This window comes from Homo sapiens, chromosome X (assembly GCF_000001405.40).
Source record: "Homo sapiens chromosome X, GRCh38.p14 Primary Assembly".
In the NCBI taxonomy this organism is placed as follows: Eukaryota; Metazoa; Chordata; class Mammalia; order Primates; family Hominidae; genus Homo; species Homo sapiens.
Window position 1 is genome coordinate 53,272,148 of NC_000023.11, and position 21,664 is coordinate 53,293,811.

The 21,664-nt window shown below is 48.8% G+C and overlaps 1 protein-coding gene across 21 annotated transcripts in view, besides 4 other annotated features; it reads right to left on the reverse strand.

Annotated features, from left to right (window-relative positions):
- The window catches only part of IQSEC2 (IQ motif and Sec7 domain ArfGEF 2), a 95,538-nt gene that overhangs the window by 46,335 nt on the left and 27,539 nt on the right, over window positions 1–21,664 (reverse strand). For 10 of the 21 annotated variants that reach the window (XR_938365.3, XM_047441928.1, XM_006724582.5 and 7 more), the window contains exons 2-3: window positions 19,748–19,777; window positions 7,417–7,512 (exon numbers count right to left, since the gene is read on the reverse strand). Coding sequence is in view for 20 of the 21 variants with exons in the window: in XM_047441928.1 (XP_047297884.1) it covers window positions 7,417–7,512; window positions 19,748–19,777 (126 nt within the window). In the remaining variant the exon portion in view is untranslated. Of the gene's footprint in view, window positions 1–7,416; window positions 7,630–9,348; window positions 9,438–19,747; window positions 19,778–21,664 lie in introns of those variants that run through there. The other 11 variants (NM_015075.2, XM_006724580.4, NM_001243197.2 and 8 more) reach the window with 4 other exon arrangements.
- Window positions 7,921–8,120: a silencer, noted in NCBI's record as "fragment chrX:53309250-53309449 (GRCh37/hg19 assembly coordinates)". NCBI's record gives its function as "represses an EF-1alpha promoter that drives an FKBP-Casp9 reporter gene in an ReSE screen in HepG2 liver carcinoma cells {active_cell/tissue: HepG2}" and the evidence as "EXISTENCE:reporter gene assay evidence [ECO:0000049][PMID:32094911]".
- Window positions 9,041–9,868: an enhancer, noted in NCBI's record as "H3K4me1 hESC enhancer chrX:53310370-53311197 (GRCh37/hg19 assembly coordinates)". NCBI's record gives its function as "activates a minimal SCP1, AML or CMV promoter by ChIP-STARR-seq in primed H9 embryonic stem cells {active_cell/tissue: H9 hESC(primed)}" and the evidence as "EXISTENCE:reporter gene assay evidence [ECO:0000049][PMID:30033119]".
- Window positions 15,964–16,855: an enhancer, noted in NCBI's record as "H3K4me1 hESC enhancer chrX:53317293-53318184 (GRCh37/hg19 assembly coordinates)". NCBI's record gives its function as "activates a minimal SCP1, AML or CMV promoter by ChIP-STARR-seq in naive and primed H9 embryonic stem cells {active_cell/tissue: H9 hESC(naive and primed)}" and the evidence as "EXISTENCE:reporter gene assay evidence [ECO:0000049][PMID:30033119]".
- Window positions 16,060–16,354: a silencer, noted in NCBI's record as "tiled region #3296; HepG2 Repressive DNase matched - State 9:DNaseU, and K562 Repressive DNase unmatched - State 10:DNaseD". NCBI's record gives its function as "represses a minimal TATA promoter and a strong SV40 promoter by Sharpr-MPRA in HepG2 and K562 cells {active_cell/tissue: HepG2 | K562}" and the evidence as "EXISTENCE:reporter gene assay evidence [ECO:0000049][PMID:27701403]".

The following is a 21,664-nucleotide window of genomic DNA, read 5'->3' on the forward strand; positions in this document are numbered from 1 at the left end:
TTGACCTGTACCAGCCCCAGACAGGGCCAAATTCCTTCCTCTGGGCTTCCATACCCTTCAGTGTTCTCCTCTGTCAGGGCCCTTCTCAGTCTCCCTGAGTGACTGGGAACTCATGGAGGGCAAGAACTGTTACTCAACAGAGACCCTGGTCACAGCAGTACTCCAAAAGTATCTACTGAAATCAACACTAATAATAGCTACTCTTTCCTGAGTACCCATTATGTGCCAGCCACTCAGATTCTGAATGCATTCATCTGAATGAGCTCAGCTCATTCAGTAAATGAACCCCATGATGTTGGTGGTATTGAGTCCTGTTTAACAGATAAGGAACTAGGCTCAGAAACGTGAAGTGAGTTGGTCAAGGTCAGCTAGCTAGTGAGTGACAAAGTTGGGACTGAAATTGCCATGAATGCCATGGCAAGTAGTGGTCCACCATGCCTCACTGCTCTGAACTGTGAGATTAGGAGATGGTATCAGTAGAAGAGGACCAAGAACCAGGGCCAGAACTCCCTACTTGGAATCCCTTTCCCAGGAACGCCTACTCTTATTTTCCCTCCTGCATCACCTTTATATAAGGCAAGACCAGGCACCTGGTTCTCTCTTCTTATGATGCAACCCATGTACCCTGTACTCCTCTCAGCCTTCTCATCCCAAAGCCCTGCTATGGTCAGGCCCATTCTTTGCTCCAGAACCGTCTAATACACACAGCTTTGAGATCGAATCCAATTCAATGCTACACAGTTGGCTATGAGGAAAACAAGACACAGGTAGTCCCTCCTCTTCTAGAGCTGACAGTCACCCAGGAGCCTTACATGCATTATCTCCAATCCTAAAGACAGCCCTAAGAGGTAAGTTGGCATTAGCCGCATTACATAGATGAGGAAACAGAGGCTCAGAGGATAAATGACTTGCCCAGAGTCACCGAGTTGGTAAGTGGCAGAACTCGGACTTGAATAAAGGTACTGACTCCACTATTTTTCCCCTATGACGTCATCCTGCTTGGAAGGGCCAAAGAGTGAACAAGACCATTTCTGGTGGAGGAAGGGGATGAAGGAAAGCTAGCACTCTTCCAAGACTCAGTACAAACGTCCCCTCCAGTAGGAAGCCTTCCCAGATGGGGTTAATTGCCCCTCATCTGGCAGCCTTCTGGGCCTACTTCTGTCCCATCCCAAATCACACTACGGTGTCATTGTCTATGTGCCTTTCTCCCTTCTAGACTTCAGCTCCATGAGAGCAGGATCAGATACAATTCATTCCAATATTCCACCAAAGGTCAGCACAAGGCCTAATCTAAAGCAGGCAAGACAGAATCCTTGCTGAATGAATGATGTGGTATCTGAGCTAATTATTAAAAGGATCTAAACAAAATCTGAACAGCTGGATACAGGGACAAGGTATAAAGGAGGAGGGAAATGAATTAATAAAAGCAAGGAAATGGGACCAAGGAAAAAGGCCAGTAATTTTGAAATGATGACAGGGTGTTCATAACATGTTTTCACTGTTGTTATGGGGGTTTTCTTTTCCTTACAAAAATGGGATTATACTGTAAACCCTGTTCTGCAACTTGCTTTCTCCATGTAACAGTAAGTCTTGTAGATCTTGCTGTGCGAGTATATACAGAGCTACCTTTTCTTTGGATCTGCTACAGAGTAATCCATAATATGGGTATATCATGGACTAAGATCTATTCCCTACTGATAGACATTTAGGTTGTTTTAATTTTTCAGTATCACAAGCAATGCTGCACTGAACATCTCTGCATATGTCTCCAAGTATTCTTGAAGGTTAAGATTCTTAAAAGTTGAACTGCTGGGTCAAAGGAATGCACATTTTGTTTAAAGTGCACATAAAAGTTATTTCCGTTACTTTAACATGTTTGCAGTCTGGCTGTAAAGAAAGATTATTCCTACTCACATAATCTTGTCTTTCTTTTGAGAAGCATATATCATGCACCTTTTAGTTAAGAGTTGGTTGAGAATGATATCCTACAAGGGCAGGTGATAAAGAGTTGCACAGTCTGGCTTATGTTTGCAGTTTGGATTGTGGTGTTTTAGAAAAGGCCTCTGGTTGGCCAAGTTGAGGTCCTTCTGGAAGCAAGACCTTGGAGAAATCTAGCTCCAGGATATGGTTCTCAGCATGGAAGAATACAGACATTTAGGATTCTGGTGGTAACTGACAAACTAGCCCCATAAAAAATGTTACCAATTTGCAGAAGGTATCTGAGAGGTTCTGTTTCTCCAGAACCCTTCCAATATTTTTAATTTGGGAACCTAAAAATGGCACTTCATTGCTTTAGTTACATTTCTTTTTTTTTTTTTTTTTTTTTTTTTTTGAGACGGAGTCTTGCTCTGTTGCCCAGGCTGGAGTGCAGTGGCGCAATCTTGGCTCACTGCAAGTTCCGCCTCCCGGGTTCACGCCATTCTCTTGCCTCAGCCTCCTGAGTAGCTGGGACTACACGCGCCCGCCACCACGCCTGGCTAATTTTTTGTATTTTTACTAGAGACGGAGTTTCACCATGTTAGCCAGGATGGTCTCGATCTCCTGATCTCATGATCCGCCTGCCTCGGCCTCCCAAAGTGCTGGGATTACAGGCATGAGCCACCGCACCCGGCCTGCTTTAGCTGCATTTCTTTAACTATTAGTAAGCTTGGGCATATTTTCTCCTTTATTAGCTAATTGTCTATTTCTTCCCTGAATTGCCATATCATGTTATCTCTCCATTTTGAATGGGTTTTGTATCTTTTTCTTACTAGTTTCCAGAAGGTGATATAGATATAGGCAGAGATATTAACCTTTTGCCTGATATCTGTGTAGTAAACACTTTCTCCTAGCCTGTTTATGTTTTAATTTTGTGTATAGCATCTTTCTCCACACAGAAGTTTTAAATTTTAATGTAGCCAAAATTATTACTCTTTATGTTATAGCTTATGGGTTTTTAAGTCATGCTCAGGAAGGCTTTCTCCACCTTAATATTATTAAAATATTCCAGATTTTTTTCTGGTACTTTTATGGCTTTTTTTTTCTTCTTTTGACAGAGTCTCCCTCTGTTGCCTAGGCTGGAGGGCTGGAGTGCAGTGGCGAGATCTCAGCTCACTGCATCCTCCACCTCCCGGGTTTAAGCAATTCTCCTGTCTCATCCTGCCGAGTTGGGATTACAGGCATGTGCCACCAGGCCCGGCTAATTTTTGTATTTTTGGTGTTTTGCCATGTTTCCCAGTCTGCTCTTGAACTCCTGAGCTCAAGCAATCCACCCGCCTCAGCCTCCCAAAGTGCTGGGGTTACAGGCATGTAACCCCATGAGCCACTGCACCTGGCCTGTATTTGTTTTCATATGAGACAAGGATTTCACTTAAATTTTTTTTCCCAAATGGGTAACCAATAGTCCCATCTCATTTATTGACTCCCCACTGATTTGAGATGTCTTTTGTCATGAATTAAATTCCCATATGAACATAAGTTTGTGTCTAAACTCTCTATTTTGTTTCATGTCTGTAGTCCTCTATTTCTGTGATAGAACATTTGAAATTATTGCAGCTTTATGGTAAGTTTATATCTAACAGAACAACAAGTTGCCCTCATTCTTTTTTTTTTTTTTTTTTTTGAGACTGAGATCTTGGCTCACTGCAAACTCTGCCTCCCAGGTTCACACCATTCTCCCGCCTCAGCCTCCTGAGTAGCTGGGACTACAGGCACCCGCCACCACGCCTGGCAATTTTTTTTTTTTTTTGTATTTTTAGTAGAGATGGGGTTTCACCGTGTTAGCCAGGATAGTCTCGATCTCCTGACCTCGTGATCAGCCCACCTCGGCCTCCCAAAGTGCTGGGATTACAGGCGTGAGCCACCACGCCCAGCCACCTGCATTCTTTTTCAAAATTTTCTTAGTGATTCATGAACATTTACTCTTCTGAATGAACTTTAAACTCCAATCACTCAAATCCCAAAGAAAATATCACTGAAATTTTAATAAGGAATGCAATGAATGTTTTGGCCAAATTAGGAACAAAATGTCATTTTTACCACAGTGACTCTTCTCATCCAAGAACAAGATATAACTTTGTTTTACTCAAGTCTTCTTACAGCCGTTGATTAAATTTTATAGTTTTCTATAGAGAAGTATTTCACATTTCTTGTAAATTCATAGTGGTTTTATAGAATTATTTTTTCTATTGTGAATGGGATCTTTTCTATTATGTGTTCTAATTAGTTATTGCTGGTACTCAGAGAAGTTAATGGTTTGCGTGTATATTTATCTGTGTCTACTCACTGCACTGACTTTTCTTCTTAGTTCTACTAATTTTTCATTTTATTCTCTTCAATTATCTAAGTAGACAATCATACCATCCTCAAATAATGCTAATTCTAACTTTGTCTTTCTAACATTTATACCATGTATTTCTTTTGTTAATCCCACTGGTTAAAACTTCCAGAAAAATATTGGTTAATAACAGTGATAGCAGCCATCCTTATTTTGTTCCTGAATTCAATGGAAATGTATCTAGGGCCTCACTGTTACATTTGATGATTCTCTTTGGTTTCTGATAAAAATTCTTTACCAAGTTAAGGAAGTTTTCATGATTCCTAGCTTACTATTTAGTCATCTATTACTGTGTAACAAACTACCCCAATACAGCAGAATAGATGTATAATTTAATCAGATCACTTTTCAGCATTTATGGAGATGATTATATGATATTTTCTCTTTAATATCTTAATACAATAAATTACAATAACATTTCCTAATGTTGAACAATCCCTGCACTCTTGGGGCAAACTTTCATTTGTCACAATATATTCTTCTTTTAATACACTGATGGATTCCATTTGATAATCTTTTATTGAAAATAGTTGTTGCTCTATTAATATGTGGCATTAGGCTATAGTTGTTGTTTTTTTTTTATTTTGTTTAAACCTGTCTAGTTATACTAGCCTTATGGGATGAACTGGGAAGCTATCTATCTTTTCCTATTATCTGATCTTTCAAGATTTGCTAGAATTTCCATCATACCAGAACTTCCAGAATACCAACTGGACCTGGTACCATTTCTGGGGAGAAAACTTTGACCGTCTTTTCTTTTTTTTTTTGAGATGGAGTCTCACACCGTTGCCCTGGCTGGAGTGCAGGGGCGCAATCTCGGCTCACTGCAACCTCCGCCTCCCAGGTTCAAGCGATTCTCCTGCCTCAGCCTCCCGAGTAGGTGGGATTACAGGCGCCTGCCACCACGCCTGGCTAATTATTTTTTATTTTTTATTTTTAGTAGAGACGGGGTTTCACTATGTTGGCCAGGGTGGTCTTGAATGCCTGACCTCGTGATCCACCCGCCTCGGCCTCCCAAAGTGGTGGGATTACAGGTGTGAGCTACCACGCCCGGCCACTTTGACCATCTTTTAAGTTTCTTCCCTACTTTTCCATTTTATTCAGGTTTCCTGTCCCACCTTAAGTCACTTTGGTAATTTACATTTTCCTAGAAAACCACCCAATTCATCTATATTTTCACATTTACTGGTAAAAAAGTATATACAATGTTTATTTTATTTTATTTTGAGACGGAGTCTTGCTCTGTTACCCAGGCTGGAGTGCAGTGGTACGATCTTGGCTCACTGCAACCTCTGCCTCCCAGGTTCAAGTGATTCTCCTGCTTCAGCCTCCCTAGTAGCTGGGATTACAGGCACACACCACCACGCCCGGCTAATTTCTGTATTTTTAGTAGAGACGGGGTTTTGCCATGTTGGCCAGGCTGGTCTCGAACTCCTGACCTCAGGTGATCCACCCACCTTGGCCTCCCAAAGTCCTGGGATTACAGGCATGAGCCACTGTGTCCAACCAATATTTTCTTTTTTTCTTTTCTTTTCTTTTTCTTTTTTTTTTTTTTTTTTTTTTTTTGAGACGGAGTCTCACTCTGTCGCCCAGGCTGGAGTGCAGTGGTGCAATCTCGGCTCACTGCAAGCTCCGCCTCCCGGGTTCAAGCCCTTCTCCTGCCTCAGCCTCTCGAGTAGCTGGGACTACAGGCACCCGCCACCATGCCTGACTAATTTTTTGTATTTTTAGTAGAGACGGGGTTTCACTGTGTTAGCCAGGATGGTCTCGATCTCCTGACCTCGTGATCTGCCTGCTTCAGCCTCCCAAAGTGCTGGGATTACAGGCGTGAGCCACTGCGCCTGGCCCCAATATTTTCTTATAATAACTTTTTTTTCATCTCCTTAGAATCTATGGTTAAATCCCCTTCCTTATTTCTTAATGTATTTATTTATTTAGCCTTTTTCTTAGTCATATCTGCCAAAGAATGTCTACCAAACTAGGTAGAGCTGGTCTTTCCAAAAGTCATATTTACTTACTTATTAATACTTTATCAAATCTTTTGTTTTCCATTTCATTAATTTCTGGTTTTATTTGTAGTAATTATTCTGCTTTGTTTTGGTTGTTTTTTTCTAGCTTCTTGAGTGGAATAATTAGTCCATTTAATTTAAACCATCTTGTTCTTTAATAAAAGCAATTAAGATTATAAATTTTCCTCTGGGAATCCCTGTGCCCATATTTTATAGGTTTTAAGTTGTAGTATTCTCACTGACATTTATTCTAAATAGTCCATAAATTCCACTCTTATTTCCTCTTTAACACAAGTATTTTTAAACTTTCAAATAGGGAGGAGGGCCTAGCCTTTTTGCTGCTGCTGTTAATATTTCCTTTTATTGAGCTGTAATTAGAAAACATAAAATAGGTTTTCTAATTAACTTAGAAATAATGTTTTCCAGCCGGGTGTGGTGGCTCACACCTGTAATCCCAACACTTTGGGAGGCCAAGGCGGGCGGATCACGAGGTCAGGAGTTCGAGACCAGCCTGGCCAACATGGTGAAACCCCGTCTCTACTAAAAGAAAAATACAAAAATCAGCCAGGTGTAGTGGCGCATGCCTGTTATCCCAGCTACTCGGGAGGCTGAAGCAGGAGAATTGCTTGAACCCAGGAGGCAGAGGCTGCAGTGAGCCGAGATCGCACCACAGCACTCTAGTCTGGGCGACAGAGCAAGACTCCATCTCAGAAAAAAAAAAAAGAAATAACATTCTGCAAAGATATGGGCAGATTGTTCCCTCTGCCTAACTGCCCTTCCTCAGTCTATCCAACTGGCAAACTCCTATTCATCCTTTAAAAAAGCTGGATTATCACATAGTCTAGGACCAACCACTCAGGCCTTTTGGGGCAGGTCTCTAGGGAAGGATTTTTTTAAGGAAGGACAAATTAGATAGATCCCAAATGTCCTCTTTGGTCTGCTGACCTGATCTTCCAGGCACTCTCCTCATACACTCGGACACCCATTCCACAGGCACAGCAGGGGCTCAGGGAGGTGGGAGGGGCTGGCAATGACACTGTATATTTGTCTGGAAGGAGGAGGAATTGGGGGAGGGATGGGTCTAGCTCTTACCTGCTCTCTGCCAGCCTGCCTGAGGGGGTAAGCTTCATGGAGTCAAGGACCTGAGTAGGACAGCAATACTGGTGTAGAGTATGAGACGCTGTGGACCTGAGAGACAGCAAGAGACAGAGAGAGACAGAGAGAGAGACAGGGAGGGAGGGAAGTGGCAGGGTGGGCGATGGGGGCAAGAAGGTGAGAGTGAGTGCGGGAGGGGAAAAGGGAAGGCTGGGAGGAATGGAGGATGGGAAATGGAAGAGGAGGCGTGGGAGGCAGGGAGGGAGGAAAGGAAGGAAGATAAGGGAGAAAGGAAAAGAGGAAGGGAGAGAGGGAGGAAGATGGAGAGAGAGGAAGGAAGGAAGGAGGGAGGGAGGGAGGGAGGGAGGAAGGAAGGAAGGAAGGAAGGAAGGAAGAAAAAAAGAAAAAAACCACAAAGTCAAGAAAGAGAGGACGGCACTCGAACCACATACAGAACACAACGACAACAGGGGGCAGTAGAGACGAAAGAGCCGGGCTGGGCCTCCTGTGTTCCAGGTGACTCCGTGGGGACCTCAGCCACAGAGACGCTGGGACACCACAGTAGGGAAGGGGGAAGGGAGCCCTCCTCACACCAGACGCCACAGGGGTAGGGAGGACGGGAGGGGAAGGGGGGATGAAAGAGAAGGGGGAAAGATGCATGGGGGCTCCCCTTAGAGAAGATCCCTCACAGGAAGGGAGGAAGGGATGGAGGAAGGAGAAGCTCTGGGCCCAAAGAAGGGGGAGAACCCAGGTGGGTGGGTAAGGGGAACACTGAAGGAAGAGAGGGAGAGAGATAGAGAGAAACCGAAAGAGACAGAAAAGGAGAAAGACAGAGAAAGAGGAAGACAGAGAAAGGGCGAGACAGAAGACACAGAGAGAAGCCAGAGAGAGGCAGAGAGCGCCAGAGCAGAGGAGGGTGAGGGCGGAGGAGGCTGACAAGGTCTCAGTGGTCTTGGTGACAGGATGGGACTCAGGGCTGAGTGGGTGAGGCAGAGGATGGGGTGGTTCCAGGTAGGAGTCTTTTGCTTTGAAGGCCAGTGCTTTACCCCCCACCCCAAGGCGGGGCCCACACTCCACCCCTGATGCTGTGCCCCCACCACCCCTAGTGCAGGGTCCAAAGACCCCTCCACCTCCTGCCTCCTGCGATTAAAGTCCGGAGAATGGCCAAGGGGAGGAGGAGGTACAGCAGGGCAGGGAGGCTGAGGGCCTGGTCCCTGCCCTACCCAGTGCAGCGCAGATGCCAGAGGTATGCCAGTCAGCTGGAGCCAGAGCAAGCTGGGAGTGGAGCCGACCCCTTCCAGGTCAGCCAGCCCCTGTCCCCCACAAGCCCACAGAGGCAGACTGTGGTCAGGGCCTGGCCATTCAAAAGCCCATGTAAAAGCCAGGAGACATGGCTGCGGGCCAGGCCAGCTGCGAATTTGAGGATGTCCAAATCTCAGAACCTTACAGGGAATCTTTGAATCTGAGACTCTTCTTATCGAAGGCTCTGGATTAATCATCATCAGGGCAACTGCTTCTCAGGTGCCAGTCTCCAGCCCAAGTCCTTGACTCATTATCTCTTTTGAATCTGAGACTCAGAGACTCTTAGGCTGCTGGAATGTTGGTGTTAGAATCTCAGAGGCCACGAGCCTGGAGCCCTGCAGTGCCTCGCACACAAGGCTAGTAGAGCAGGGTAGGAGCCAAGCTCACCCCTCACAGGCCACAGGCTGTGCTGCTCAGGGTTCCAGGGTCCTTCCAGAGCTGGGCACCTGGATGCCCATGGGATCTCCCACTTGAACTGGCTCCCTCCCCCAGGCCAAAGGCCTCTCAGAGTCCAAGAAGGGAGCCAGGAACCAGGAAGCCAGGAGGCTGCTGAATCAGTAGCCCAGGGACTGGGTCCAGGCCTGGGCAGGAAGGGAGGGGGCCAGGCTGCGGGGCCCAGGTTCCTACCTGCTGCTCCTCCCGGGGGGCTCCATGGGTCTGGACCTGTCCCAAGGGCAGGCCCCCTGGCCTAGCCGGTGTCTCCACCGTGTCACCACCCCCTCCTCCCCAGCCCTTCCCTAGAAGGAGGAACCAAGAAGGCGGGGCCAGGCCAGCTGGGCTGCGGGCCAGATTGCAACTGGAAACTTTGCTCCTTCCCCTACTCCTCCAGGAGGGCTGGGAACTCCTCCTCCGAGGAAGCGGCCTGGAGAGCTCACAGTCCCTCCTCTGGGCCAAACCCCAGGCTGGGCTCCCTCAGTGCACCTCTGCTAGAATCTCCCCACGCACCCCATCAAGTTTGTATCGCTGGCTCTATTCTCCTGAACAGAAAATTGAGATGGAGAGAGGTGAAGTAATACTGCTAGTAAGTGGCAGAACCCCAAGATCAAGACCCGGTTTGGCTATTCCCAAACCTGGAATCTGCCCCTTCAGCCATATTGCTACCTTGTGAGTACAGAAACCTTTCCATAGAAGCTTTTCACAAATACCCTTATTTTCAGCACAGTTAAAGAGACTATGTTTAGGAGTTGTTCTGGGACTCTGCATATTAAGTGCAATTCAAATCACCCATGTTGGGGTATCAAGATGGGGCCCCGGCCAATATTCTTTCTCACTGCAATAAGCTCTCACTCTTCTATGTTGTTTTCTAGACTGGCTGAGAGAAATGCTTCCTGAAGAGAAGAGGGAAAATCAAAAGAAATGCCAAGAGGCTGTTCTTCCAAGTAAACTGCCCAGCCTGACTTTATGGATGGGCAAATTGAGGCCTGGAGAGGAAAAGGGTCTTACTAAAGTTCATGCAGCAGGTCAGAGTAGACTCCAGGTGCCCTGGCTCCCTGCCTGCCTATTACAGCAACATCTCTGTCCTCCACATGGGCGGGACTGGAGAAAGGAGAGAGTTTTTTGGCTTTGAAGGATGTAGGGCTCCTGAGAATACCACAGGTCCAGCTCAAAGTGCTCCTGTCCTTTCACGGTCCCAGAGCCCAGGCCCCTGGCTGTTCTGAGCAGAAGGCGGCCCTGGGAGGGGCCAGGGGGCCAGTGATCTAGAAGAAATAGAAGCTGACAGGCAACAGGCCAGCCTTCCTGCCTCCCTGCTGGGGCAGCTGGTTCCTCTCAAGAAAGCCAAAGCTACTGAGAGAGAGAGGCCCTCCGGAACACCACAAGGTTGGCATCTGTGGGTCCTTAGTGACCTTCTCTCCCTCTGCCCACCCCTCAAAGCCCTGGTCCTCAAGGCTCTGGCCTTAGCATCTGCCTTTTTTTTTTTTTTAACTCTCCTTGAGGAACTCTCCTAGCTCCTGCAGCAGCTTCACCTTGTGCCCATTTGTAGTTATTGCCCTAAGAGCTGAACCCTCTTGACCTGGCAGGAGCCGAGAGACATTAAGTGTAGTGCTGGGCCGGGTGCAGTGGCTCACGCCTGTAATCCCAGCACTTTGGGAGGCTGGGAGCAGTGGGGTGGGTGGGGGACGGTGGATCACCTGAGCTCAGGAGTTTGATACCAGCCTGGGCAACATGGCAAAACCCTGTCTTTACTAAAAATACAAAAATTAGCCAGGCATGGTGGTGCACACCTGTAGTCCCAGCTACTTGGGAGGCTGAGGTGGGAGGATCGCTTAAGCCCCAGAGGCGGAGGTTGCAGTGAGCTGAGATCATGCCGCTGCACTCCAGCCTGGGTGACAGAGCAAGACCCTGTACAAAAGAAAAAGAAAGAAAGAAAGTGTAGTGGTAGCTTTAAGGGATGATGCTGTGTGACTTTGGGTAAGGCCCTTTCCCTCTCTGGTGAGACAAAGAACCTACACTTTGGTGCCTGGTAAAGCTGGGTACAAGTCCTTGCCCTATCACTTTTTAGCTGGGTAAGCCCTCTGAAGCTCAGTTTGCTCATCTATGGAAGAGGAGTGGAAATTCCTACCTCACAGTTCTTGTAGGGATTTGGTAGGTAGACAAAGTGTGCACATGGTAAATAGTCTCAGCCTGAACCTGAGAGAGTCTGTCCCTTCTCCCAGAGAGGCAGAGGAGACCCATGGGAAGCCTGTTTGTTTCAGGGATAGTGAGGAAGATTTCTAAGAAAATATCCCTGAACCTGGGACCACTTTTGGAATTCAGTTACAGCTGAGCATGCTGAACAGACTCAGATGATGACCCACCAGAGGCTGAAGGGAGGAAGGAATGAAGGGTGAGGAGCCTGACCCAGCCACGGGACACTGGCAGGGCCTTCATGCATTTATTCGACAGATACTGTGGCCCAGGCACTGTCCCCGGTGCTGGATACAGCAGTGACTACAGGTAGACAATGTCCTGCTCTCATGGAGCTTATATCCAAGTGAGAAGAGACAGACATTCACCAACTAATGCAATTCAACTGAGCAAAAAGTAGAGATGGCAGGAGGAGAGCATTCCAGGCAGAGGAAACAACCTGGACAAAGGACCTGAGGTGGTATTTCCAGCAAGCACGAAGAGACTGACGTGGCGGGGTGGGAAGAGCACAGGGGAGAAAGGTGAGACTGGAGATGGAGGTGGGGGCCCAGCATGCAGAGCCTTGGAGGCCTCTGTCGGGGTTTCCGTATCTATAGGAAGAGCAATTTGGAAGCCTGTGGTTTGGGACAGGCATGTGGGGTGGGGAGTATCTTTGAAGCCCCTAAAGTTGTATGAAAAGCATTAATTTCTGGGGAGAACATCTCTAGCTTTGATCAGATCCTCGGATGGGTCTGTGATCCCAAAGGGTAGGGAAGCTTCTTATATGATTCCATTCACTAAGTGCCCATGATGAGCTGGTGGCAGGCATCCTAGAACCTTCTGTGAGCTAGCCCCTACCCCATACCTCCAGCTAGTCTCAGCCTTCCCCCCACCTTCAACCTGCACCCCACCCAGACAGAAGCACCTGCAACTCTCTCAGCTACACTCTGCTGCTCCAAGCCTTATTAAAGAGAATGTGTGTCAAATGCTCTGTAATAGTACCTCTGTTGTCCCGCTGTGCCCCCACTGTCATCTCCCCACCTGGCTGGCTCCCCCTTGTTCTTCAAAAGTCAGCTAGATGTTGTGCCCTCTGGGAACCTGCCTTGACCCCACCCAAGCAGGTTGGGTCACCTCCCTTGTGTCCTTCCGCCCTGCTCTTTTCTCAGCCGGCTTCTCTCAACACTGTGTTCAGATGCCTGCTGCCCCTTCTCTGTCGGGAGCTCTGTGAGAGCTGTGTCTTGTTCATCCCAGTGTCCCCAGCACTCAGCACCGGGCACCTGGTCACACATGGTGGGGGGACAATGGACAGAGGTGGAGGCTGCAAGGTGGGCCAGTGGACACTAGAGGGCACTGTGGCCACTAGAATCCCAGCCTGCTGTTGGCCAGGCCGACCCAGGAGGCTCCCAGGCCCACAATTGTCACATGGAAACTGTTACTGGGTCCTGCAGCTCCTCAGCTCTGGACTTAAGCAACCAGGGCCACAGTTCCAGCCTCCCGATAAACCTTCTGCTCCCTTTCCAGATGAGACCGTTTCTCATGACAGTGCCATCTCACTGCAGATACTCCTTTAGTTCTTCACAAACGTGGGTGCCAAACACTCTTCTCGCAGTTCTGGCCTGCAACACTCTTCACTTCACTTTGCCCCACCCAACCCCTCCCCTGGCTAACTTCTACTCATGCTCCAAGCTTCCACTTAGATGTCAGCTTGGAGAAGCCTCCCTGGCCCTCAGGCTGGGTTGGGTATATTTCCGTGGTGCTCCCACAGCACCCTGCACTTCCCCTATAATTGTCTGTAATTGTCTGTCTCCTTGTCTATTTCCTGACCAGACAGTGGGCTTCATCACAGCAGGGCTGTTACTCACCACCCTATCAGCCACATTTAGCAGCATCTGGCACATTGTAGGCACTCAATAAATCCTTGAATGAAGGAATAAATGAATGGATGTGTGGATGGACAATTTGGGGCAAGTCATTTTACCTCTCTAGGTTTCAGTTTCCCCACCTGTAAGTCACCCCTACTTGGCAGGGTGGCCACAAAGATTAAAGATAATGTGTCTCCAGTGCTCTGTAATAGTACCTGATATTTAGCAGACATTTTCTGACTCAAAGCAATTATTACTATTTGGAACAGTGAGAAAAGGGCAGGGGGAGGAGTTGAAGGAGACTGCCCAGAACCTGGGATAATCTCTCTCACTTAGGTTTACCATTTAGATATGGAAGATGGCTTTAATAGCAATCATAAAACTATCAATTTTATTAAAAATAACAGCACCTGCTGTGTGCCAGGCCAGAGTCAGGAGGCCTCTGAGGAGGTGATGGGAAGCCCCTAGTCTCGGCCAGAGGATGCGAGGTCAGGGCCAAGGCCAGAGCTGTGGACATCGCTCCTGTGTCTGGAGAACAGTCATTACTGGCACAGCTGATTCCTAACTCTTTATTCATAGGTGAAAACTTGTCTAAGGGGTCATTAGTTCCCTCTGTAATTAATGTAAAACCTGCAGGGTTTGTATTAGTGGAAAAGTAAGCTCCAGCATCAAGCTGATAACATTGATAATGTGTACTTGTAATTATATACTGGAGGTAACTATAAATTCAGTCACTGAACTCATAAAATATCAAAATTCCTGAGGCCACCAAGAGCTGGGTAGCAGCTGTACCATCAGTAGCTTTATACCAGTTGTTCTGAGGTTATGAAAAATTACCACAAGCTGGTAGCAATGGTAATATTCACTGTACATTTAAAAGCTTTTTCGGCATAAAATAAGAGGGCACTTTTAGACAAAACAGCATGTTTTGATGCAAGGATATGGAACTTGAAAGCACAGTGAGCAAAGGTCATCTTGCTATAAAATAGGAACCAAAAACAATCTTACAAGTGTTTGCCTCTGAGCCGACCAGCTCTGACCTCACTTGGGTACACATAAAAACTGTGCTTACTGCAGAAGAAACAAGAAGTACCAAGTGTTTTCTCTCTCTCCTCTCATCCAATTCTGAGGGAATCAATTATCTCACACGGCCCCTTGCTGCCTTGTGTTACCACAGGCTGGAGGATCACTGCAGTCCAATGGCAGGAGGGGCAGATCCTGAAGCTGGAAAAGGTCACATAGCTTCCAGGTTGGTGGCCATGTCAGGCCATGGGCAAGCAGAGGAAGCTGGTCCAGAGAGAGAAGTCCATGAAAAAGAGATGATAGGCTGGGCGCGGTGGCTCACACCTATAATCCCAGCACTTTGGGAGGCCGAGGAGGGGGGATCACGAGGTCAAGAGATCGAGACCATCCTGGCCAAAATGGTGAAACCCCATCTCTACTAAAAATACAAAAATTAGCTGGGTGTGGTGGCACACGCCTGTAGTCCCAGCTACTTGGGAGGCTGAGGCAGGAGAATCGCTTGAACCCAGGAGGTGGAGGTTGCAGTGAGCCAAGATCATGGCATTGCACTCCAGCCTGGGCGACAGAGCAAGTATCCGGCTCAAAAAAAAAAAAAAAAAAGAAAAAGAAAAAGAAAGAAAGAAAGAAAAAGAGATGACAGGGACCAGGCAAGCCATGAGAGATGGAGAAAGATGAGACATGGGCCCAGGAGATGCAGACAGCGAGACAGCAACCTTGGTCCTCGACTTCCTGGTCCCACTTCCAGTTGGTGTGAGGCCTGGCTGTTTTTCATTAACTGTTCTTAGATTCTGTGAAATGTAGCCTCACAATAGTCCCCTCATTAGCCCTTTATTCTTGAGCTAGCTTGAGTGGGCTTCCGTTCCTCACAACAAAGTGTACCCAGACTAAGACAAGTGAAAATTGGGAATGTAAGTGCAGGGTTTGTGTAAGCAAAATCGCATAAAGAACACTTAGGTAGAGAGGGGTGAATGCAATTGTCCAGCGTTTGTGTTTGTTCACCCAGAAGCTCCCTGGTTCCCTGACACTTGCAACCACAGCCACACGCTCCAGCCACACGCTCACACACACTGACATTCAGTGGCACACAGCAACAAACGCAGCAGCAACCAGATATGGTTCTCTGCAGACCCCCTGACATGCAGGGCCACGCGCCAGCATGCAGTGTTGCACTTTGCTCTTCACAGCCACGCTGCCATGCAGCAGTGCACACCCACATGCATAAACACAGAGGTGCTGCCCGTAAGGCTCAGGGCAGGAGTCGAAGCTTCACTGAGCTCTGTGCAGCCTCCCTCCCCAGCTGCCAAGTGACTCATCCCCAGGGCTGCTAATTAAAGCCAGGACAGAGGGGACAGAGGCAAGGGGAGGGGAAGAGAGAGAAGGCAAGTTTATTTCGGTGCCAACCAGGCACTCAGCCAGCTTAGGGGTCACCCACTTCCTGGGGCTGGGCCAGGCGGCGGCAGAACACAGAGAGGAAGGGGAGGAGAAGAGAAACCTCTTACCCCTTCTTGCCCTTCTTTAGCTTCCTGGAAAGTTACCTCCTCCTCTCTCCCACTGTCAAAATCCAGCTCTGACTCCTCTAGACTTCTGTCCTCACAAACTGGCTGTCTACACCATCATCACGCTCCCATTTGGGCTGGCCCGAGCTGGCTCATCTGTGTCTGCAGCAACCCCAGACTGTGAAGCAGTAAGTGGCAAGGTTCCAGGCAAAGGAAGTGGTAGGAACAGGGCAGGGTGGGCAACCGGGCTGAGCCAAATGGGAGGCATCATGGGAGGTGATGCAGCTGGATGGCTCTGGGGATGGGTAGTGTCTTGGACATGTGGATGGGGGAGCCACAGACGGTTCATGAGGTCTTGGCCATCCCAGATTGCCAAGAGGTGAAAACAAGAGATTATCTAATCCAAACTCCTGTAGGACAGATTGGAGCACTGAGGCCCACAGTGGGAGGCTCCTCCTCCCACTTCTCCTCCAACTGCAGTGGCTCCCGTTGCCATAGGGACGTCCCTGTCTCCGCGGGTGTCAGCGGCTCCCCCACCCCCTCCCTCCTTCCCTAGCAACAGGCCACCTCCTCCTGCTTTCATCCTTGCGTGCCTAGCAACCCCAGCCTGGTCCCCAGGGCCAACAAGTTCAGGCTGACCCTCACTGCAGCAGTGCCTCTAGGCCTGGGCCCCCTCATCTTCTGGTGAGGGCCTCATCAGGCCCGTCCTGCCCTCTCTGTTTTCAAGTTCTACACTTGTTCACATTCTTCCAGCCTGACTATATAGCATATGACAATGGATTGGGTTAGGGGAAAGCAGAGGACACTACAGTTTGTTGCACCACTATTTCACACCAAGCATTGCTTTACTTTAAGTTCTCTCATCAACCCAGAGAAGTCAAGACTATTGTTTCCATTTTACCCATGAGAAACTAAGAACCAGAGAAGTTAAGTGATTCTGCAAAGAGTGCACAGCTAGGAAGCAGGCTCTGCTGCTAGCTAGCTTTGTGACCTCGAGCGATGGCCAATCCCTCTCTGGACCTTGGCTTAAGGTATCTTTAGGTCAGATCTGTGACACTTCTCAGGGACCCACAAGAAGTCCAGGCACCTTTCTCTGCCCATGCCTACCCCCCACCCCCATCACCAACTGTTCAGCTCTAATTAGACGCCACACTTCCTCTGGCACCCCATACTTTAGAAGCCCTCAGGCCTGGGTCATGCCAAGGGTGGCTTGCAATCTACCGACTCTGCTCTCTCCTTGCTATTCAGTTCCCATAAAAGCCCAGGCCTAGCGCCTCTCCTCGGTGTTTCTTCCACCTCCCTAGCCCTTCCCCCTCCACACACACATGAAGTTTATTAGATGAGGAAACTGGGGCTCCAAGAGACAAACAGATTGTCCAGTCACACAACTAGAGAGCAACCCACCCCCCAAATGGAGGCCTGTGCATGGATCCAGTGTTTCTGCCCTTCCTAGGCCACAGAGCCTCGCCTCTCTCCTCCAACTTCCCCAGCTCCCCACTGATGACAGAAGGTCGCTGTGACCCAGTCCTGACCCGCGTTCTGACCTTACTGCTCTTTTCCTGCCTAGATCTTCTATTTTAGCCCCACGGATGGCTCCCTGTCTCTAAACCCACCCCCCTCGCTTCCCTCCACAAGCTGATCCCACCTCCGGGGACACCCTCCTTATGCAAATCTGCACGGCAGTCCCCGACAGCCCTGCTCAGACGCTGCCTGCTCCAGCAAGCTCTCCTTCACCCTAACTGGAGCGAATTCAAAAATTTACAAGTAGGTCCCTACCCAGCCCTGGTTGCAAGTTCAAGTTGCCTTCCCACCATGTTGTCAAGATATTGCCCCATACACGCCATGCTTTAGCCCCTTCCCATAGCCTGAGTTTGACCCTCGCTTCCCAGATGCTGACTCCTCTAGGCCCCTACAGCCTCCTTGACTCTGGGCCCAGGATGGATGTCAGGAAGCGTGTCTGAATAAATTAAATGCTGGCTTTGGAATCAGACAGCCCAAGGCACTGACTCTCTCAGAACCTCCTTCTCCTCATCTGTAAATCAGGGATTGTAATCCATGCCTATTAGGGCTGTTGTGAGCATTAAATAAGATCATATTCCAAGTTGTTAGTATGTGAGGAACAAATGGTGATTGCTATAATTGCTAATATTAGGATGAGGATGAGGATGATGATTATTATCTGCCAGGCTGTCGAGAGCTCCCGTGGTGATGGTATGGGTAGCACTCTGGGTTGGCGCCAGGCAGACTTGGGTTTGAATCCTGGCTCAGGATCCATATATTAGCTGAATCCACATATTAGCTGCCTGGCTGCAGGCAAAACCCATAACCACTGTGAGCCTCAGTTTCCTCAGCTGTAAAACAATGATGATAAGGCCAGCTCAGGTTCTACCTACAGTGTCACTGGGAGGATCAGACAAAAGAAAGTCCCTGACAACTTCTGTAAGTTGTAAAGGCCCAAATGTATATCATCACATGACTTATGATTATGCTCGTTATTAAATGTCCTGAGCTCTAGGTCCCAGGAACTTCCTTGCTGGGAAGAGCTGAGAACTAGAGATGTTTTCAATCTTCTTCTTCAACAAGTAGCAGGCACATCACCGGGGATGCTTGCAGGAGCCCCGTGCTCGGGTGGCCTCTCTCCAAACCCACGGTGGGACACTGAGATCTATTCCCTTTGCTAGACAGGTGCCTTCCTAAGTGCTAGGACAAGCTGTGCCCATGACATGCTCCTTGGCTGCATGCTAGGACTAATTATGTCTTGTCACAAACCCCTTTCCTGGACACTGGGACTGATTGCATTAAAGCTGGCCTCAGCATGTGTTTATCCCACAGCCCCATTCTTGGCTCTGGGTATCCGTGTGTTTACCCCAGATCCCCTGTCTGGGGTGCTAGAACAGAGTGTGTCTCATTAGACACTTTTGTCTGTATGCTGGCATCCTCTGTCCCCAGCCCATATCCACTGCCTGAATGACAGGACCAGGGCTCCTGCATACAGTCAGGCAAGCTGTGCCTTTCACAAAGGGTCACAGCCAAAAGGATATGAACAGGGGCTGATATCCAACCCGTGCTATGCTCAATGGAGCCACTCAGAGGGGGTGCCCTTGAAAGGGACATCTTTTTCTATTCTTCACAAAGGTGCCAATTATGCTACTGGCAGCCGTGGCTGGGAAAGACTGTACCCATCTGTGCCTCTGCTGCCTGGGCTCAGCTCAGCTCAGTGGCCTATCCCATAGCCCCCAGCCTGGATGTTAAGGCTGAGTGGGTCCTATCCTGAGCACCCCCATCATTCCTATATAATCCCTATACTTGACACCTCTGCCTTCATGAAGCTTCTGATGGGGTAAGGCCTGGGAAATGCACAAAGGTCCCTTGTCTTTACCTTTACCCAAGTTTTACTCCTGCCTCCCCAACTGGCAGATTGAGCACATCTTTAAAACTTACTATGTCTACCAATGGGTCAGTAACAACAATAACAACAACAAAAATAAAATAAAATAAAATAAAATAAAACGTACTGAAGCTTGTAAACTTTTTTTACCAAGCACACACAAAAAAATTTTCCTTGTCGCCATAATGTATAGTTCTAATGTCTAGAATGTGTTACATCCAGAGTCCATTCAAATCCCACTACTCAGGGCTGGCACAGATTCAGGGTGGAAAGTGAACGCTAGACCAGGGAAGCTCAGCATCGATCATGCCCTCTTACCCTGGGAGGAGAAGGTGGAAAAGGTCCTTGTCCAGAGCTGACCTCTCAGCTTTCATATCTGGGCAGCTCCTATGAGCCCCTATGGTGTTCAGCCAAGCTCCCAAGTCAACTAGTGTCAGAAAGACTAAGGAACAGTCTTGAACCCCCTCCCCACAGCTGCCACATCCCCCAACTGCCCTCTCACCCCACTCCATAGCCACCCCTAATACCAACAGGGAAGACGCCCTTGAGTTGGCCCCTCCCCTTGCCCATGGATCCTGCAGTTACAAACCAGAGGCCCCCACCCCAGGCCCTGCCCCATCTCCCAACTAGTACTAAAGAAAGGAGGTACTGACCTGACTGTTCTGGAATTCTCACCATCAGATCTGAAAGGGAAACAGAGAAAAAAAACCAAAACGGTCAGTATACGCTCTCTTCTCCCTCTGCCCTAGGTAGAGTGGCTTTGGGGGGCCTTGAGGCCTAATGCACATCACAAAAATGAGGGGAAGGGTTATTTCATGCGGAGAGAAGAGAATAGCAAGTGCAAGGCCGAGAGACAGTAGAGTGCCTCGCCAGTTGGAGGGATGGAGAGGAAGACGGTGGTGCTGGGGTGCAGTGAGCAAGGGGGAAGAGTGGTCAGAAGTGAGGTCAAAGAGGCACCAGGAACCAAACATGTGGGGCCTAGTGGATCACAGTGAGGAGCGTGGCTTTCGTCGAGGCAGCCAGCAGCCGTGGGCAGGGGCAAAGCCCAAGCTTGAAACACAGGAAGACCTAGGTTCAGATATTGGCTCTGCCACTTACCAGCCCCATGACCTGGGCAAGTCACTTCACCTCTCTGAGTCTGAGCCTCAGTCTCCCCGTTTGTGACACGAGGCCGATCCTCACTGGGCTGTTGGGATAATTCAGCCCTTTGGAACCCGGTACGCAAATGCCAGGTATTATTAACACCATGGAAGGGGCTTTGCCAACTGCCTGGTCCAACCTGCTTATTTTCCAGATGAAGAGAACGAGGCTGAGGAGATATATGAGTCAGCCGCTGGGCTCCTTTCTACTACACTGGTCTGCCGTTTTCATTGTGAGGCCTCTTTAGAGGCAAAAGAAGGGCGAAAGAAGAGAATGGAGTTGGGGACATCACTGAGGGAACCGGGCAATGAGTGAAATCTGAACCACACCCTTCCTCTCCCACCACGCCTTCCCAAGAAGAGTGTGAGAGTGTATACGTGAGTGCACACACGTGTGTACACGTGTGTGTATGTGCGCGCGCACGTGTGTGTGTGTGTACGGGAGGGAGGATCAGGACAGTGGGGCTGGTGTTCACTGCGTGCAGGGAAGGGGCAGAGGAGGACCATGGAATTTGAAAGTGGGAGCGTGTGGGACACGGACATCCCCCTTGTCATCTTCCTCCATCTTCACCTCAGGCCTCCCACCCTCACTCATGCTGCGAAGGAGACAGAGATGAACACAGCACAGGCTCTGTCCTCAGCTGAGAGAGCCAAGACGTGGCTTTAGTGAGGGGAGTGTCCATCTATGCTAAGCGCTAAATGACAGAGATACACACAGGGAGAGGAGCAGGTGGGCCTCAGAAGGGAGCATTTGTTGAAAGAATGAAAGGAGGCCCCGCTGGCGAGGTGGGGCAGGCAAGCATCAGGGTGCTGCAACCACAGCACTCCCGGTTCCACTATTCACAAGCCATGGAATCCTAGGGAAGGTATTTCACTATGTTGAGTGTCAGGGCTTTGCCTTGTAAAATGGGGCTTTGGGGGTGGGCTGCGGTGAGAGTCACTCCCTTTATGGGGTGTGGCTGTGAGGCTCAGCCTAGCACAGTGCCTGGCACATGGTACATGCTCAGCAGATGCCAGTAGCACCAATCCTTAGCCTTCTCAGCCCCCTGAAGGAACAGAGGACCAGGGCCACAGCGCACCTTATCACATTTATTAAAATGTTCCATCTCCTTCTGCAGCAACAAGATTGCTTCTGAGGCCTGGCCCAATTATTCTCAGGTACCAGGCCTGAGGGGCCTGACTTCAATGACTCCCCAGATGCCTACAGAACTGAGGCCAAGCCTCTCAGCCTCTCTCCCTAACACTAACCCTCTGCTCTAGGCAGACCGATCTCTTCACCACCCACCTACCCCCAAACCCAGCACACATGTATTCAGTCTGCTGTCTACCAGGCCCTGCCCTGGGAATACAACCTCTCAAGGAGCTCGTGGACTGGCCACTTGTCCCAATCTACCTAAGGTTTAAGCAACACATCTAATCACCCCCACCACC